This window comes from Homo sapiens, chromosome 1 (assembly GCF_000001405.40).
Source record: "Homo sapiens chromosome 1, GRCh38.p14 Primary Assembly".
NCBI classification, from domain to species: domain Eukaryota; kingdom Metazoa; phylum Chordata; class Mammalia; order Primates; family Hominidae; genus Homo; species Homo sapiens.
In genome coordinates this window covers 118,103,906-118,123,563 of record NC_000001.11, presented here as the reverse complement: position 1 = coordinate 118,123,563, position 19,658 = coordinate 118,103,906, and the positions used below count along the sequence as shown (strand labels likewise).

General features: G+C 37.7%; 1 protein-coding gene across 7 annotated transcripts in view; it reads left to right on the top strand.

Moving 5' to 3' along the window:
- The window catches only part of SPAG17 (sperm associated antigen 17), a 231,639-nt gene that overhangs the window by 61,665 nt on the left and 150,316 nt on the right, over positions 1 to 19,658 (top strand). For all 7 annotated transcript variants that reach the window (XR_946574.2, XM_006710427.4, XM_006710426.4 and 4 more), the window contains one exon: positions 8,123 to 8,254. Coding sequence is in view for 6 of the 7 variants with exons in the window: in XM_006710427.4 (XP_006710490.1) it covers positions 8,123 to 8,254 (132 nt within the window). In the remaining variant the exon portion in view is untranslated. The remainder of the gene's footprint in view (positions 1 to 8,122; positions 8,255 to 19,658) is intronic.

Here is a 19,658-nt window from a genome sequence, read left to right as displayed (position 1 = left end):
TGGTCTGAGCACTTTCATAACGTTCCATTTGCGTTAGACAGACAGTATGATCTATATGGAACCTATATCTTCAGTCACCTTTAAATTTATGTATAGACAGTTTAATATTGCTTATTTTCTTTTCCTCTTCTCAAAGTGAGAAAATATGTTTCAGTCATTCCTGTTCTTTTTCTTCTCTTTTTTTCTGTTTCTCTCCATAGCCCCCTCTCACTGCTACCCTTATCCTTTCAGCTGTTTTTCCAATTATGCCTCATTGGAAATTACTCATTACTTAAAGAATGTGAATTGGATAGACTAGACACATACAGGATCAAGTAATGCAATAACTACAATATAGTTGGCCCTAAATAAATGCAGAAAGAATGAAGGAGGGAAGGGAGCAGAGGGAACAGGAAAGGAGGCTGTAAAATTACAGAACACTATTGATGGAATTCCTCCATCTCACATTTGAGAAGAAATTAATAGCATATTTTTTCCTCTACATCCTCCCCATTATACACTGCACCAAAATAAAATACATTTTTACACCTTTTCTTTTTATCTCTGCTTCTCTCTAAAGATATCTCAATTTGTCCTTTTCAGATTGGACAAAGGGTTAAATAAAAGGGGTAGCCAGGTTATGGCCAGTTGATAATAAATTCAGGTCACTGTCTCACTGCCCAGTTGCTCCTCATTCCATTCCATTCTCTGCTCTCACAACTTGGGCTGTGGAATCTTCAAGAATCCCAACTCTGTCCTGGATGTATGAATAACCATAAGTACTGACTTTAGTGAACATTTATCATGCATATGTCATTCACCATGCAAAGTATTTACATGGGTCATCTCATTTAATTCTGGGTACTGAATTATGAAGTCAGCACTACTCATATTCTCTTTCTGTAGTTCTTTCTGTTCTCAGTTGGGACAACTTTGCCCCCAAGGGAACATTTGGCAATGTCTGCAGATCCCTTTGATTGTCACAGCTCGGTGGAATACAGGGATTCGCTAAATATCCTACAACTCACAGAAAAACCTCCTATGGTAATTACCTGGCTCAAAATGTCAATAGTGCCACCATTGTAGATGTTAAAAGGATGAGGTTTAAAAGGGTTAAGTAACTTGCCTGAGGCTCTGCAGTGTTACGTGGGAAGACTGGAATGCAAATAGAGCCTGTACTTTTGCATTAAGTTGCACATATGTAGTTATGGCTTCCGCAACTGATTAATCATATCTTGTACCAAAGGAGCTAAAGTTCCCCATTGGAATCTTATGTGAGAACATCTCAATACAAGTGGCCCTTTTCAATCATTTGCAAATTATCTGCTCTTCCATCATTTTCATCAAATGTGCAGAATCGGGCCCATCTAAACAGCCTTTCACTCTAAACAGAAAATTCTGTAAACACACACACACACACACACACACACAGACACACAGACACACATTGGGGCAATAGTTCCTCTGACTTTCTAATGATATAAGCAAATATAACAAGATGTAAGATAAAAGCAGAATGTATATCATGCTACCTAAGCAATAAACTTTAAAGATAGAATATATGGCAACATAGCTTACTATGATGAATAAATTGCATGTATTTAATATGACATATTTAATAATAAACATAGCCCCTTGTATGCTGCAGGATAATTAGATAGAAATGGTAAATAGTCATCAGTATTCTTTTTAAAATGCCAATAAAAAATATTCATAATGTTTTTCTCTTTTTATCAGCTCTTCAATATGTGCAAATCAGTTTTGACAGTGTTTTTAGATATTGAGTATATTTTAATAATCTGAATAAACATCAAAGGCAGCTGTGCAAACACACATATTTTGTGCACACATGGACATGCACTCATGTACACCAGTGATCCCCAACCTTTTTGGCACCAGGGGCTGGTTTTGTGGAAGACAATTTTTTCACAGAGTGGGGAGCAGGATGATTTCATGATGAAACTGCTCCACTTCAGATCATCAGACATTAGATTCTCATAAGGAGCACACAACTAGATCCCTCACACACAGTTCACAATAGGGTCCACACTCCTATGAGAATCTAATATCACCACTGATCTGACAGGAGGCAGAGCTCGGGCAGTAATGCTCCCTCACCTGCCACTCACCTCCTGCCATGTGGCCCAGTTCCTAACAGGCCATGGACAGATTAGGAACTGGCCCTAACCAGGGGATGGGACCCCCTGATATATATCACTAAAGTCACACACCACATGCCCACACACCTATACAGGCACGCATAGATAGGTCCCAGATCTTACTTGCCAGAGCAGATTTCTTTTGCCTTTACTCCTCTCCCGCAATACAGAATTGCTGCCTCCCCTTTGTTTGGCTCCAGCCCTCCACCCACCCTCTCTGATGCTTATCCTCCTCTGACCCTGGCTGGAGGGGAAGTTCCATTTTCCCTTCAGAGCCTTTCCCCTGAATAAGCTAGTCCTAGAATGTAACAGCAACTCCAGGCAGGGAAGCCCAGGGGTGCTGCTCTCACCCCTGGCCTATAAGCACCACAAATGCCAAAACTATGTTTACCCAGAGCCAGACAGGCATTTCAAATTTCCAGATTACCTCTTACCCCTAAATTCTAAACTGCCACACCTGTTACTTATTGCTCGAAAATACTTCATCAGCCACTAGTTCCTTTCATTCTATAATAAATAAAAATCTCAAAATATAGCTAAACCACTGGTATAAATAAACTTTATTCAAAGTGAGCTACCAAGTTAAATATTTTCTATTTTCATGGCAGGAAGGATTTAGTAAGCAAAAAGGTATCTGGTAGCTAGAAGTGGGAGGGGTGTAACAGAGGGATTTTAAAAGGTAACAGAAAGGAGCCAGAAGCAAATTCTGTATTCTTCCTATTCTTGCCCCATACCAGCCCTGTTTATCTAAATCCAAACAAAGACAAGTTTCTTGTGTGGCCACAAGCAATATCTTAGCTTGGAAGCCATAGATTTTCCTTACTCCTCACCTTTAGCACTGTATAAATCTGAGTACGCCATTGTTATTCAATACATGTATGTAAGCATCTCCTGCATTAATAAAATTTGCCAAGGATGGTGCTGAAAAGGTATCATTCCTTTCAGTTTGGGCATAAAATAAGAGGGATAGAGTGATAGGATGATTAAATGAATATTATTTTAAATGAAATACTATATTTCACTTTTCCCTATCATATAGACCTTCTCTGACCAAAACAGTAGCCACTAGCCACTTGTGGCTATTTACACTTTAATTTTAATTTTAATCAATTAAAAACAAAATTAAAAATTTGTTTTTTTTTAATCTCACTAGCAATATTAAAGTACTCAATAGTCACATGTGGTTTAGTGGCTACCATATTGTACACTACAGATAAAGAATATTTTCATCATCACAGAAAAACTATTAGCACTAATATCAACAAATAAAAGTTGGAGAATACTCATTGTTTATATGGGAAGTGGGGGAACGGACCCTTTCATACAGTTTTGGTGGGAACAAAAATGCTACTAACAAAAACACACATGCACTTCATAGAAAAAAAGGAAAACTGAAATTGTTTAAATGTCTGTCAATGGGGAGCTAGTTAAATAAATGAGCAAACACCCACACAATAGAAGACTATGCTATTTATTAAAAACCATATACGTAAGCAAAACTTATCAGCACAGAAAGCTGTCCTGGATGTGTTTTTATGTAAAAACACAAACCACAAAGCACTTAATATGAATAGTATAATCCCATTTGTGTTTGAATATACATATATGTGTGTATATTTTTTACTGTGGTAAAGAACGATTATACTCTTACTTTAAGTAAATTTGATCAATCATATATTAGAGAAATGAGCTACCCAAAAGAATGTGTGCTGAAAGCCTGTTTGCCCAGCCTTGTGCTAGCCTAAATTGAGTCAAGCTCTAGCTTATGGATTCTGCTTCTGTTTGCTGAGGTCTTCATATATCCAAAGCAATCCTAAGTTATTCACCTCCCCAAAATAGGTTGAATATGAAGTCATATGTTGTGAATTTTTACAGTTACTGCAATAAACACCATGGGCCTCCAAGAAAGTCCCTGAAGCCAAAGGATTCTTTTAGTCGGAAACTGGTGGATATTTGGAGCTCCTGGAGGGAAAGTGCTCTCCCAGGCCATCTCTCTTCTACTACCCCTCTTCTCTCTGCTTCACACAACCACAGCTTGCCCTTTCCTCTGCCACCTCACTCCCATAACCTGTTCCAAGCAAGAGAAATCCAGATCCAAATCTTTACACAACCTCAGAATTCACTCGAGATTGAATATGCAGCAGGTTAAGCAATGATTCAAGCTGCTTCATATGACTTCTTGTCAACACACAAGGGAAATCATACAGCAGGCTTCATGGGAGTCCATTCTATCTCTCTCTCTCTATCTTATATATGCACATATATGCATATATGTATAAATGTGCATATGTATATATGTATGCACACACACATACATGCATGCATATATTTGGTTTCCATGAGAGCGCCTAGGGCAATTCTAAGCATTGGGCTTGTGCTTACTAATGTAGGGAGGTTCTAGAGAGAAGAGGAATGCTTAGAAGGAGAGAGGACACTGGTGTCTGTAGGTGGACCTGATCCTCAGGCAAGGAAATAATTTGGCTCATTTGGTATATTTTTGTTGGATCAAATCATTAGATAGTAAATATGATGTAATTCTTTGAGCCAGGACAATGATAAAGGAAATATTTTTATTTCTTAGTGTGTACAGAATTACAAGCTCCCTAACAGAAAAATAGCATCTAGACCCCTTAAATATCTTCACACAATACAACATGAACATGGCTTCTGCCTCAGCTGCACTCTTTGAAGCTTAATTTCCTCATTCACCAATCATTCCTGGAACTGAGTGACCTTTGGTCTTTCAGCGTAGAGCCTCTCTCCGGTCCTGGCAGGCCTCTCTGCCTGGAGAGCTGACCTGAAGAGGTCAGGAGACACAGGCCTTGCCTGGCAACATTTTTCTCCATTTTAATAAGTCTCATTTGCCCGTTAAGACTCGTGCTTTTTTGAGTTCCTGATTCACGCCAAGCACATTTACTTGGCATTTTGGCTTAAAGAGAACTAAGGTTTTAACCCATTCAGGACTATTTTTCTGACTAGTTCTGGAAGCTTAAATTTTTGCCTAATTACTCCCCAAGCACTGCCAGCTCGCTGCTCACATGTTCTCTTATGTCTCTCATCCCCCCTATAACTATAGCCCTGGCTAGCTTACCCCCCAGTGCACACACATATGCACAGGTACGCACACTTATTTTGACATAGATGATGGGCAAATTATCTTTACAGTGCTAGAATGTTGGAGATTTATTCTTTTAATTAATACAACTAAGGCCAGGGAGGAGAAACCTTTGGAGATGTTATGTGAAAAGGTACATTTCCTTTAAATTCTGTCTCTTTAATTTTTTCTTCCCTCAAAAACTTGTCCTTCAAACAGATTCCTGAAAGATTTGTTTTTCATCTGAGACCAAACTACTGGCTACTGATAGGGTAGAATTGTTAATTATGGGACATCAGAAGAAAGAATTTTGAAATGAAATTAATTTGTAAACATTTTTCTTTTTCCGCCTCTTTTGGGAATGACCCATATACCATGAAAATGTTGTCTCAGATTTTGAGTTCAGCATAGACTTTCATTTTCATTAATTATTCCAATAATTCACAATATCATTCCCTTTGGGAGACGCACAGAAAGAAAGTGGCATTTAGAGAGTCAAGCCTTTTCAGAGCAACCCTGGGGGAGGCCAAGTATGCCTGGCCTCTGCCATTCCTAGTGGTGCCAGGGGCAGGCTGTGCCTTTATGCAGGATGTGGCGCATCAAGTCTGCCTCCATGTGGGCCGCCCCAGGGCAGTTCGGGAGGAGGACACCACCCAGGGCACTCCTCAAGGCTGCCTGTCCACCACTGCTCTCTCTCTCTGTGTCTGTATGTCATGAGAGCATGTGTGCCTGGCAAACTGGTGAAGCCCCTCATCTCCTGTCTCCCCATGTCAGGGCAGGACCTCACTGTTACTTTGATGCTGTGCCAGATTTTTGTTTGAAACCACACCCCACAGATAGTTTTAGACAAACCAGTAATAACTATTATGACCTGCAAAATACTTTTCTCTCAGGATGTTTTGTTATGCTTTGAATACATTTTAATACAGTGAGGTAACATTCATAGACTCCTAGAGAAATCACCTCCAGAGACATCCCATCCATTGCCATGACACCAGGCAGGCTTCACCCAAACCCCCCAGACATAGGTGAATATCCTGTTTTCACAGGTCGTCAGGAAAAGAGACTCCACAACCACTCTGGGGTAACACTTTTCAGTGTTGACTTCCCTTCAGCGCTGTCATTATCTTTGTATTAGAGGGAAACACTAGACTGCCATGACCTTTAAAAACCCACATTTGAATGTTTTGAATCAGATGTCACAGAGCCTGATTGTCAGCACAGTATTTAGCTGGCATTGAAAAATGCAAACCAAATATTGACATCTACTCTTGGGGTTGGACCCAGTCAGACAGCTTTCACTTTACAGTAAACGCCTGACCTCCATCCCCTTAGGATCCCCTTCCACGTGGGATCTGGTCATCATTAAATGGTGAGGTTCTGCAGGTGTACTGCTATGTTTTTCTGCTCCCAAAAATCACAGCCATCATGTCTCTTTCCCTAAATTGTGTTAGCAGGAGCAGAACTGCCATAAAAAGCAAAGCACTGTATTTCCTAGAGTCCTTGCAGGGATTTCTGACTTGCAAAGATTTCTGACACTTGGTTAGTTCCTTTGGTTTTTAGAAAAGGCAGCTTTAAAGGAATCCTTTCTCTGGCCTTCCCCTTCTGTGATGCAATGCGGGAACCCCAATGTGATCTCTATGAGGTCCAGTTACATTTTGGCACATGGTAATCCATAGAGCCTTCTGCAGTTAGAAGAAAATAGGTACCTCCCTTTCTTCCGGCTATTTCCCTTGGCGAAGTAACAAGTCAAAAGCAACTGGACTGGTCAGGAAAGTCCTGACCAAGAGCTCAGACAAGACACAGCTCCGTGAGATGCAGTGTGCACAGTCATTGTCTGAGACCAAGGGCCTGAAATTGACACCATATGCGCCCCAGGAGTGATTACTCCAAGGGGGGAGAAAAGCAACATGTCAGAACATTTTAGTAACACCTAATTCATCCCAAGGTTATAAATAAATATGATGCTTGCTTAAAAACAAAAGTCAAAAAATACTTCAACTAGATTACTTCTGTGACAATGCTTCAGGCAGAGGTGAACTTTATTAGGGAGACAACATGAATAAAGAGAAACACATAACAACTTTTTATGGTATATTTTACGTGATTTTATTTTTTTTGCAGTAAATAAAGTGGTTATAGGGCTCCAAGGAAAAGGGCCCAGATGTTAGAGCGTTGTGTGAAATTTAGGGGAAACAAGCTGTAAAAAACACAGTCATAAAACAGGCTGTCAGTGCCACACATCTGGACAATACAGCTGTATGTTCCTAGTGGCTGTCGTCACCCAAAGAAAACTCAATAACCTTATTTCACCCCAATTAGGCTGCATACCAACATGATCAACATTAAGTTGCAAGGGGGAGCAACATTCATATGGCGCCTTTGTGTCAAACAGCTTTTATCTTTCATTTGAATTTAGTTACAAAGAAATAAAAGACTGCTAACATAGTCATTTCCACTATTATAAAACCCTGTTTAATTTATAATATCCTAATAAGTCAAAGTTTGACAGTTTGGACTACTGGCTATGCCAAACAATAGACTTTCTGTAGCATGAATCACCCTATCAGTCATCCTAAAATGGAGCCCAGCCTATCTTTTCTCTACCCTTTTCCTGGAGTCTGAGTCTAACACCATCGTGGGAAGCACTCTGCCTTATTGGAAAAAGAAGTCGATATTCAGACAATCCAATTTATTTAAAGTAGAGGGTAAATGCCCCTCTCTGTAGCATTGAGGCATTTTTTTCCCTAACTTTTTTTTTTCAGCCAGCAATGAAGTATCTTTCCAGTATGACAAATAATATAAAATTTCCTTTCATCTTTTCATCACTGACAGACTGTGCCAAAGGTTATAAAACATCACTTTTTCTAATAATTGTGTTTCTGTATAGGTGTTAACGGCAGCAAAAGCAATTATGGATAGTGGAGAGAAATTAACCTTACCACTGATAGGGAAACTCTTGAAATTTCAACTTCTCCAGATTAAATTTAAGGACCAACAGCGACGGGAAAATGAAAAGAAGGTACTGTACGATCTGGTGGGTTTTCTAAAGAGGGCAAGTGGTGAATGAAATGGAGCCAGGTTTCTCCAGGGGCACTTCCTCTCTTCTTAAGCCTACCATTAAGTGTTACCTGGCAAATTTGGCTGTCACCTCAACTTCTTAGGGAAAGGCTGTCCAAAGATCTGGAGGAATTATGATAAACCCATTAAAAATAGGTTCCGTAAAATATGAAAGTAACAATATTCAAAGCATGTGCCCAGGATTGTTTCTATGGCAGTATATTTATATAATAAAGTTGTAGCCAAGAAGGGACCCAAGGAAGAGACAGGGAGTCGGGAAAACTAAATATGAAAAGGACAGTTGGGGGGAACCCTCACAGTTCGGGTCTAACTATTTAAGATAGTTTATATGATACTCTATAGAAGTGCCTTTTAAAATAATAGGCATATCTGCACCTTCATAATAATCTGAATATTTCAGCAGCAATCCATCACTTCTACTCCTATATTGCACATCTGATAATTTCTTCATACCTGGATTTTTCATTTAATTTGCTTATAGAAATCAATCTGTGTGCTTTCCAAAGACTCATATTTGCATATGAAAAATATTTTAAAATGCTGTTAGCAAACTACTACCAGGTTCACATCCATGTGCTACCATCATAACCCAAAATAAGATGTTTTTCTTATTTTCCAAATCATGCTGAATTATGTTTGGAAAGCCAAATACTTCAGTATATACATATGTAATGTTTGTGTGTGCATGTGTATGTATGAAATGGATTTGCATATGAAGTCATTTCTTTATGCCTTAAGTGGAAAAGGCAAAATCAATTCACGGAAGAAAAAACAGAAAAGTGAAAATGCTCCAATAGTGCCTTCTTCACCTTTGCAAGACCCCCAAAATCTAGGTTTCCTATTTGAATTGGCCCCTCAACAAGGTAATTGTAGAAAAAAATAATAATGCCACCTTCCATTTTCAATATAGGGCTTTATGTTTTTTAGAGATATTTCCCATATAGCATGTTATTAGTGTGGTACATATTGTGCCTAGAAAAATTCTATTCATATTAACATAATTGATAGTACAGTTTTCCATCTAGTGAAACTCTTTCCATCGTGTTGGGGGAGTTGTACCTTAAGAAATACTCAGGGTAATTAAGACTTGACAGAAGAAAAATTGGAAAATTTGAAACTAGTATAGAAACATCTCTTGCCTGTTTAAATTCCAATGCCATATGGGAATCTGAATTATAAAAAGTAGACTGTAATTCTTGCAAAAATTTCTGCACTTTCTGTTTGCTTCGCCCTTTCCCACAGCAGTTAGAAATAGTGTGCTAAAGAGCGTCAATTTACTTGTTTACCACTTATTATGTCACTAATTGTTTATCATAGGAGTAGACTGTAGATTTCCTTTAACAAATTTTAAGTAAAAGCAAATAAAATATTCTAGTAGCTTGGAAAACGTTTTTAAAGCTTGCAACAATATAAAAATATTTTTGCACCATTATTTTACTCAGCATTTCTTTGAAATGTGAACTCTAATAATACAATTAAGAGGTTCTAAAGGTATGGAAATAATCTTTATCTGTTGAAAATTTGAGAGTCCTGGGTAACTGGGGCATGAACCTTAGAGTTTTTATTTTCTTTTAAGTATTAGATACAGTGAGAGAACTTTTGAGCAATTAAGAGCCAATGATTACATAATCTAATATGACATCTCCATTATTTTGGGTTCCCAAAGCACCAACCCCAAATCTCTGAGTCACAACCATATGAGTAAGTGCTAAATAAATTGATGAAAACTCATTGGAATGGAATACAATCGGGAAAATACTCTTGGTAAAGGGGAGATGAAGGCAGTTGTTTGTGGGATGATATCATTGATGTTCATTTCAACCACACTGCCTAAGAGGTCAGTTGAAACAATCAAGGTTAATGCTTGTCAGCCAAGGAGTTTGGCAATAAAGAAAACAAGCAGAAAGTATGTAAAACTGACACCATGCTGTGGATTAGAATATGAAAAAAAGAAAAGAGGACTTTAGCTAATCTTTTCATCTTTCCTGAACCCACAGTGAGATTCCGAAATTTCTACAAGGTTAGTGACTGACTCCTCAACTTTTTAACATCAACATATCTGTGTAGATGTTGTCTTTCAAATGTTAATTAATTGCTTACCTCTGTACAACCCAGAGTGTTTTGTATCTTCTATGTTTAATTTTTGAAATTGTATTTTTAAGAATCAGTGCTTGAAAAATATCCATAATAGAAATTATAGAAAATCTTGGGTGAAAGTGAGGGCAAAAATAAGTAATATAGCTAGGTACCTGTTCTAATGTTTTAAGGTATCACTACATATTTGATCCTGTTTTAATCAATCAAAACTTTTTAAAAAAAGATAAATAATATAGTTTTAATTGCCAAATACAGTGAAGAAATATCATTATTTTCAACTCCACTACTTTTAATAACATTTTAAACTGGGCTATGGTTAACATTGCTTTTGCTTTCTGCTTTGCAAGAAAGCTTGCTGGGTAATTCATATTATAAGAAATACAAGAAAGATATTTCTAAAATGAACAGTGTTAATGCCTTCAGCATGTAAATTTCTGGGATACAAATGCCGGCCTCTAATTGCAAATAACTTAAATCTATCCGAAAACATTTATTTATTTGAAAATACCTTGTTGATGAACTCCAAATATAAATATCATGAAGAAAATGCACTGTATTTCCATAAATATATTTTAGTATTTTAGAACTTCTGAATACGACTTTCTCACACAATAATTCTAAATTAGTTTGATTTTATTATATCTTAAAACTTAAAGTGTTTTGTTTAGAAATATATTTTCTTACATCCTTATCGCAACATTTGCTTTTGCATTTTTATTTCTATCTGTTAATAATTTATCAATTCAACAAACATTTACTGAAAGAAACATTTACAAAAGCAATGTACTGAACAAATATATTCTCATCATGTTCCTTATAATTTTAAAATAAATTGTTTGGTTTCCATTCTGATCCATTTTAATTTAGTCATTATCTGAATATTATATATCTACTCACATTTTTGTTTCTTTTTAACTTCAACTTTTGTATTATATATTAATTATGAACACATTTAAAGTCAAGACAATTTTGAACCCAAATATTTTATTATATTGAGAATTCAACTAAAAGAAAACACTTGATAATTAAAAAAATGAAAAAAAAGCTTCGATACAAAAAGTCATTAACTATTTAAATAATTGGCCAAATAAAATCTAGTCTTAGGTTCCTTTGTGTTTAGTTCAGAATGTTTGTACAGGTTTTGGGAGAAGATCCAAATATATTCCAACTGTGCTTTTAATTTATGAATTCAAATAAGTCGTCCATATTTCCTTAGATGTTTTTAGAAAGCATATCTTTTCTATAAAAAATTAGTTCTTTCTTTTGCTAGCTCATATGCATGGTACAAATTGCCCTATTTCCTGATATACTATAATTGAAGAGAAGGAAGATAGGCGGTAAAGAACTAGGGTAACTTTTTGTAATACTGGTAAACTATTCTTAAAACAATTCAAAATTAAAAGTGCCTACGTTTGATAATACATCATGATGAAGCCACAAGCAACCCAGAGCCTCCTCCAAAAGAGAGACAAAGAGAAATGAGAGTAGTTTTCACAGACACCTTCCAGCTTCCTCCAGTCCAAACTCCGAAACACTGGAAACCAGCCAAGGTAATGCCATTTGTGTGTGTGTGTGTGTGTGTGTGTGTGTGTGTGTGTGTTGTTTTAAAAGAAAAGCCATACGGACATACCAGGAAATTACAGGCTGGTTAGTTTTGATTCAGTTGTGGTTAAAATCTTCAGAAACTATTTTAAGAAATCGAACAGAGAAAGAGCAGGAACTCAGTTTAGAAGGACCCGTGTGGTTTCAGGAAAGGAATAACTTGCCTCACTAACTGGATGGAATTCTTTGAGGGTGGATTATCGAAATGAGGATCCCACTAAAATGGATGTTGAATCTAATGAGCTTCAAAAGCCAACAATTCAGGAGAAATAATAAATGACCCCCCCAGATGGCTTATCCATAAAATAGAGTAGTCCTTTCCTAATTGGCTTGCTTTTAATTAATGAAAACTTTTTACAGACTTCAGGAAAAATGCAAAGAAACATACATCTTTAACATACAGTAGTACTTTAAAATATGGAAAAGCTATGATTATAGCAGCTAATAATTATAGTTAGCTATCATTATTGACTATTTGGCACAGAACTAAGCCCTTTGCACATGTTATATCATTTAATCTTTTAAATGACTTTATGAGGTACAGAGTATTATTCTGAGTTTGCAGATGGGGAAACTGAGGGTATGAAAAGTTAAGGAATTTTCCCAAGGCCAAACAGCTACTCTCAGTGGAAGAGCTGGGATTCAAATCCAGAACTGTCAGACTCCAAAGACCATGCTCTTAACCCCCATACATATCCTTCCTAAGTGTGTCTCAATAATTATGAAATGGCACTCTTGGCTCACAATCAGTAGAGTGCTTGCCCAGAGACATTTCCCTGTAGGACCAATGGCTGTGCTCAGTGATGTACTCACAACCATCTGGTTCCATTAATTACATTGCATTTAACATCCTCAGGTTAAATAGGGGGACAGTGGTCAAGGGAAGGAACAAAACTCACCAAGGAGGAATGCCCTGAGCTAACCAGCCACTGATTCCAAAGGAAATCCTGACTTAATTTCCAGTCCTGCCCCCCACGCAGAAATGGCTCAGTCTCTGGGGGAATCTCTTAAAACTGGACATCCAGAGATTATTCCTAATGTCCTTCTGCATGGTAAGGTAGGATAGCATTGGCTGATCTAGTACTAAAGTCTTTCATAGACTACATAGAAAATACAGAGAAAGAAAAGCAAAACATTTGCAATGTGTAACCCTATTATAATTAATGTTAAGATTTTGGCATTTTTCTTTCTGTTTTTTTCTGGGATTTGCTTCTTTACGCAGCTGTAATCATTGTAAAAATGCACCCCTTTTTCAGTTAAGATAGATTATAATTTCTACTCATTATCACAGTGTCCACTCTATCATTATTACTGGTTTTGTGATGTTTTATTGACTATCATAATTTTCTTAACCATTTCTCTATCATTGAGCATTTAAGTTATTTCAATTTCTTTTCATAATAAACCATGTACTTTGCAGTATAGAAGTCTCCATATTTTGGATAATATTCTTAGCATAGATTTATTAAATTGGATTAATGTTTAAAAATGTTCCCATAACCTTGTATGTTCAAAGTGAGCCCTATGGCCACTTAGACCTAGTTCTCCATTTAAAAAAGAAAAAATGGCTCCTGGTCAAATGAGCATGGAAATCACTGTGTATTAGATACAACTCTTGAAGATATTTAAGAACATAATAGCTAATTAAAGATGAAGGAGTTTTGTGAAAACCACTATATTTAATATTGTTTAACCTACGGTCTCTCAAATTTATGTGATCTTATACCTTTGTTTAGCCTATCTCTTGTCCCCTATGATAGCTTGTTTATGAGATAGGGTGATATCTTGAAAGAGAACTAGAGGAACACTCAGAAAACCCAGTTTCTCATAAACTACATAATAGAGTGAATTAGTTACAAACTCTGTGAGTATGTTTTCTTATCTATATCCTCAACAATACTATTCTGAGGATCTTATTATAAATTTTATATGAAACATTGTTATACATGAATATGTATATGCATTATTATTATTATTATTATTATTATTATTATTTTGAGACAGAGTTTCACTCTGTTGCCCAGGCTGGAGTACAGTGGCACGATCTCGGCTCACTGCAACCTCTGCCTCCCAGGTTCAAGTGATTCTCCTGCCTCAGACTCCCAAGTAGCTGGGAATACAGGCACGCGTGCCACAACACCCGGCTAATTTTTTTTTTTTTTTTTTTTAGTAAAGATGGGATATCGCCATGTTGGCCAAGCTGGTCTCAAACTCCTGACCTCAGGTGATCCACCCACCTCAGCCTCCCAAAGTTCTGGAATTGCAGGTGTGAGCTACCACACCCAGCCTACATTAGGCAGGAGAATCGCTTGAATCTGGCAGGCGGAGGTTGCAGTGAGCTGACATCGCGCCACTGCACTCCAGTCTGACAACAGAACAAGACTCCGTCTCAAAAAAAAAAAAGAATAAGATGAAGTATAGATATATATCATCAGTTTCACTGACATTTACCATTTATCTTCCTTTCATTGTAAGGAATTAGGAGAATGAATACTTATTAATTATATTTGAATTTTGACATCAAGAAGTCATTTAGAAATAAAATATGATCTAAAATATTTTGAAGCATCCAATAACTAGGTTGCCCTATTATAGAGAAGGAGAATTTTTTATTTTTCCCTTTAAAAAGTGAGAATAACTTAAGATTAAGTGTTCTAGATAGGTGTCACTTTATATTCAACTGAATATGTGAAATGCCAACACTTTTTTTGGTTATTGCTGAGACAAGAATCTCACATATGCTATGTAACTTAACCGGTTAAGAAATCTCTGTGCCTATCCAAAGCCGTCTCACAGTAGGAGGCATCTAGATGCTTTCTGCACATACTGCATTAAAAAAAAAAAAAAGTAATCTGTGGCAAACTTGACTCTTCCTTCATATGCTGGGGAACATGTGTTCCTCAAACATCGTGGAGAGAGGCACTTTTTGGATATGCCCCTCCTAAAATTTGCCTTGAATTGACAAGAGTTCCCTCTGAATTTTTAAAGTTGTGAGCTAATGACCTTAGTATGGGAACATGCATGCCATGTTATCCAGAAGCAAGAAAGGCCAGAGAAAGAGTTTGTATGAACTAACTTGAGTTTATAACTTAGGGGGTCAGCTTTGCTGAATGCGCCTGATCTGGTTAACTCCATTCCCACTCCCAGATTTCAAGACATAAACCCATAAGTGAGAAGGGTTTACTCAGAATGTGAGAAAAAGGAAATGAAAGATAGGAAATGATTTTCCTATGATTGGGGCTTGGTACAAAAGGATATTTCACTTTGAAACCAAGGTAGAATTCTAGGGGCCAACCAGTCAATCACTCTCCAGAATTAAAGGGACAAAGAGACTGTCCTGGTTCAACTTCAGTATGAAGGATGGGAGGAGTGAGGGATAGACTGAATCCAGGAGAGGAATAAGTAGACCACCATTATGGTCAGCCATGGGGAGAGAGCAGAATGCACTGGGTAGGGTAAAGAACATGTTCAAAAATCCACCAAAGACATCTCGACCTGGATCCGGAACCCAGGAAGACCTAGGTACTTCCATTCAGTTTTATTGTCTACATATATTTTCTCTGCACCAGAGAATCCTTTCTTTACCCAGGAAATTCTTTACATAGTAATACATATTCTACCAACTGAAGATATAACACTGTTAAATGGAAAAATGCAGGACACCAAGTTATATAGAGAGAACAATAACAGTTATGTAAAAATGATGCAGAAAGTTAATTCAAAAGAATGCATTGCACATCTTCTTCACTCATCTTCCCCAAGTGGTAGAATTGTGGTGGCTTTTGTAAGCTCTTTATATTTTTTTCCAAATTTTTAGTAATAATTTTTATAAGAAAAAGTTATTTACAGAAGTAAATAAGGATTTATAAGGGTCCTCTTTAAAAATACTTTTAGCTGGGCATGGTGGCATGCAGCTGTTGTCCCAGCTACTCGGGAGTCTGAGGTAGGAGGATTTCTTGAGCCCAGGAGTTTGAGTCCAGTCTGGGCCACAGAGTGAGACTCATCTATAAAAACTTTAAACATTTTTAATACTTTTGCGAAGGTGGGGGAGGTAAATATTGATAATTTTAATGTTAATGGAAATTAGTTTAAAATATACTGTTCTCCAGTCTCCCAAGTTTGGCCTTGCTAGAGGAATGCAAAGGCAAAAAGAATGGGAGAGAAAGGAGAAGTGAGCAGAGAGAGAAAGGGAAGTGAGCAGGATGAATGGCTGAGGTGGGTGGAGTGCTCTGGAGAAAGAAAAGGGCATCAAGCAAGTGTGATTCAGCCCCTGGGAAGACAGAGTAGAGGGAGGCAGACAGGTATGGAGAAATCAGGAGAGCATCAAAGACAGACAAGAGTATCATGGAAATAAAATGAGTTTAGGGTTTGAAGTCAGACCAGCACTCTCTACCACAGTTGTGTGTCTTCGGACAAACTCTGTATTAATTTATAAAATGGGGATAAAATTACCCATCTTACAGGTTGCCTTGTGAGATCAAATTAAAGATGATGATGTCTGGAAACTATACTCTGCTACTAGAATTTAGCACTTCCTTTGAATGTTTGGTTGTAGTCCGCCCTCCTTTCTGCAGAATCCCAGAATCCCAAGAACCAAATAGAAGAAAGGGCCAGAGAGTTCCTGAGCTTCTAGAACTCCAGTCTTTGCTAAAATGGCTTCAAAGGGATGAGACTTATGTGGCTGCACAGGCTCTCACACCCTACCTAGGAGAACCTGGAGGGCCAGAGGGCCTCTTACTGTCTAACACATGATGGGGAGGAGTATCTGTGAAATGATGAAATGAATGAATGAATGCATAAATGAATTAATGTTTATTCTTCCAGGTAAACTTTAAAATAATTTAATCTAAAATGGTTTCATCTTTTTAGATCAAAAGATCACCCTGAGATTTTATTTAAAATTGCAGTTGTAAAAGTTTCTGGTATGTTTTTGATGGCTACATTGGAACTTTTCTGTAGCAAGGCCAGCTGTCTACCAACATGTTGCACAGGGTGTTGCAAATTAGTAAATTTGCTATGATCCAAAGCTTGGCTGTTAGAGAGCCCTGCATGAGTCTTACCAGTGCTTCCAGGCCAACTGCACTCAGGGGCACTGACTTGTGCCTTACAAACCCATTAAAAAAGAGCATGGGTGACTGGCCTGGCTTTGCCACATATTAGCTTTGAGTTTGAACAACTACTTGCCCTCACTAAGACTCAGTTTTCTCCTCCGTAAAATGAAGATGGTGCTCTACCTATTGTAGTTATTGTGAAGACTTGACGAGATAGAATATTTGGACTATAGTAAGAATGTAATAAATAGAAATGTAATATTGATAATGATAAGGATGATAATAATAGTGACAATGACAGCCATGATTAGAATAGCCCCTTGCTAATTTACTACAGTAAATATTACTGTCAGTTTTGTGGGACAGACCCATCAGCATTAACTGAAAGTTTTCTCCCTGTAGACAAATTGTACATAGGAAGGCAAACTGTCAGAAACTTATGTAGTACCTCAAGTCTTAACTAGGGAGTTAGTTTAAAGGTTTACAGTCCTGATGGCCTGATGCAGCCCCCTGACCACATGGCTGTAACTCCCAGGTTACCCAGACCCTCCTATCTGTCTATCAGGAAATCTCTGCCCTGGACAATTTGGAATTAACACTGTTATTCTCTGCCTCTCTGATTTCTCTGATTCTTCTTTTTTTTTCTTTTTTGATGTTTTTTATTACTGAGTAATGCTCTTCTTACTGGCCTCTTAGTTCTCTAATGATTATTTCCTCCACTCCACCTCAGCCATTGCCTCCCTTGAACCTTGTCATCACTGAAGCCCTCATCACCTCCAAAGTCTTGAGATGTCCTGTTCTCTAACCTTGGAAATTTCCTATCCTTGTCTCTTACTCATAATCCAATATCCTCCTACATAATTTCTTCAACCACATTATAAATCCCAGTCCATAAATCCCAACACTTTCTATTCATTGTCCTCTCCTGCTATTTGTTTGGCTTAGGTTCCATGATCCAATCAGTATTATCGTTTCTCTGCTTACTCTTGATTCCCCTTGCTCTTCTCTCCTTCCATCACAATCATTTCGCAAAACCCCTCCCAGGATGAACTCAGTGATCCATCATTTTCATTTCTATTCCTGAGCAGCTAAACATAAATGGAGGAATTCACACAATTAAACAGACTGATTTCATGTAAAATTAACAATCTCAACATTTTCAATAAGTTCTCACCACTGGCAGAGTCCTACCATATTACCTCGGTAAGCTTGCTCCCCCACTCTCTGACATAAGATAACTCTTACGTCATCTTCCCTATTCAAACCTCCTGCCTCTTTCCTGCCTTTTCTCAGTTGATGACTTTGCCTCATGCTTCACTTGAAAAAATTGAAACATTTTCTCAACACCATCAAGATGTCTCTGTTTCTGGCACCCAGCCTCTTCCTGTTGTTCTTAGTTATGAAACTAAGAAATTCCCTCTCCTTCTATCAAGGTCCAGTCATTGGCACATTCTTTTGTTCTTATCCCATGTTGACTTCTAGAGAACTTCAGTCTCCTCAGCCCCGTATCTTCACTGTCTCCTTCTCTACTGGATCATTCCATCAGCCTGCAAGCATAACATCTCTTGACTTTACATATATACATACCTTGACCTCATACCCCCTTGCATCCACTCACCCACTGAACAACTCAGAGCTCTGGTTCTGCTTCACAACCAAACTTCCAGAAACAGTTGTCCATAAAAGTGGTTTCTCTATTGATACTGCCCTCCTATTTTCCACCTCCACACTCCACCATAATTGCTCTTCTTCATGTTACCTACAACTGCCAATTCTTGTCTTTTTGACCTTTTTGGTTTCTTAGTTCTCTAGCTTCACACTATATATTTTTCCCTATCTTTTTATCCACTTCGCTGTCTCTTTCTGCTGGCATCTCTCCCTATACCCATTGGTAAGCATTGGAGTCTCTAGCATGATCTCGGACTCAATTCTCATATTTCTCAAGAAACTTCACCCATGGTGATTCATCTCTTCCCATGCGATTATCTACTATTTGTATGTTATGCACACCTGCATTTGTAACTCTAGCCAAATTTCTCTTCTAGGGAGAGAATGTGTGTATTGAACTACCTTCTTGACCTCTCAAGAGGCATCTCAAAGTTGACATAACACTGTTAATATTCTGTCCACCTTAAGTAAAACTCATTTATCACCCAGTCTTCTCTATCTCTGTGACACCATCAACCACCCAGTTGCTCAAACTAAAATCCACAGCACTATCTTAATGTACCTTCTTATTCAGACTTCATATCTAATCTTTCAACCCATGAAGTTTCAATATCCAAGATACATCTCAAATCTATCTTTCTTCACTCTGCCAACACTTTAATCTAAGTCACTATTGGGTTTTCTCTGGACTATTGCGAGAGTTTCCTTACTAGTCTTCTGGTTTCCAATCTTGCAAAATCATAGAGCTCCTCTACTTAAAACCCTTTAAAATCTTCCCATTGCATTTTAGTTAAGACATAAACTTGTTATTTCTACCTCCAAAGCCCTGGATGGCCTGGCCCATGCTGTGCCTCACACACCTCATCTTGGGCTACTCTGCACCTCCACTGCTAATTTCCCTGCTGGGCTCATCTCCTTTCAGTTCTT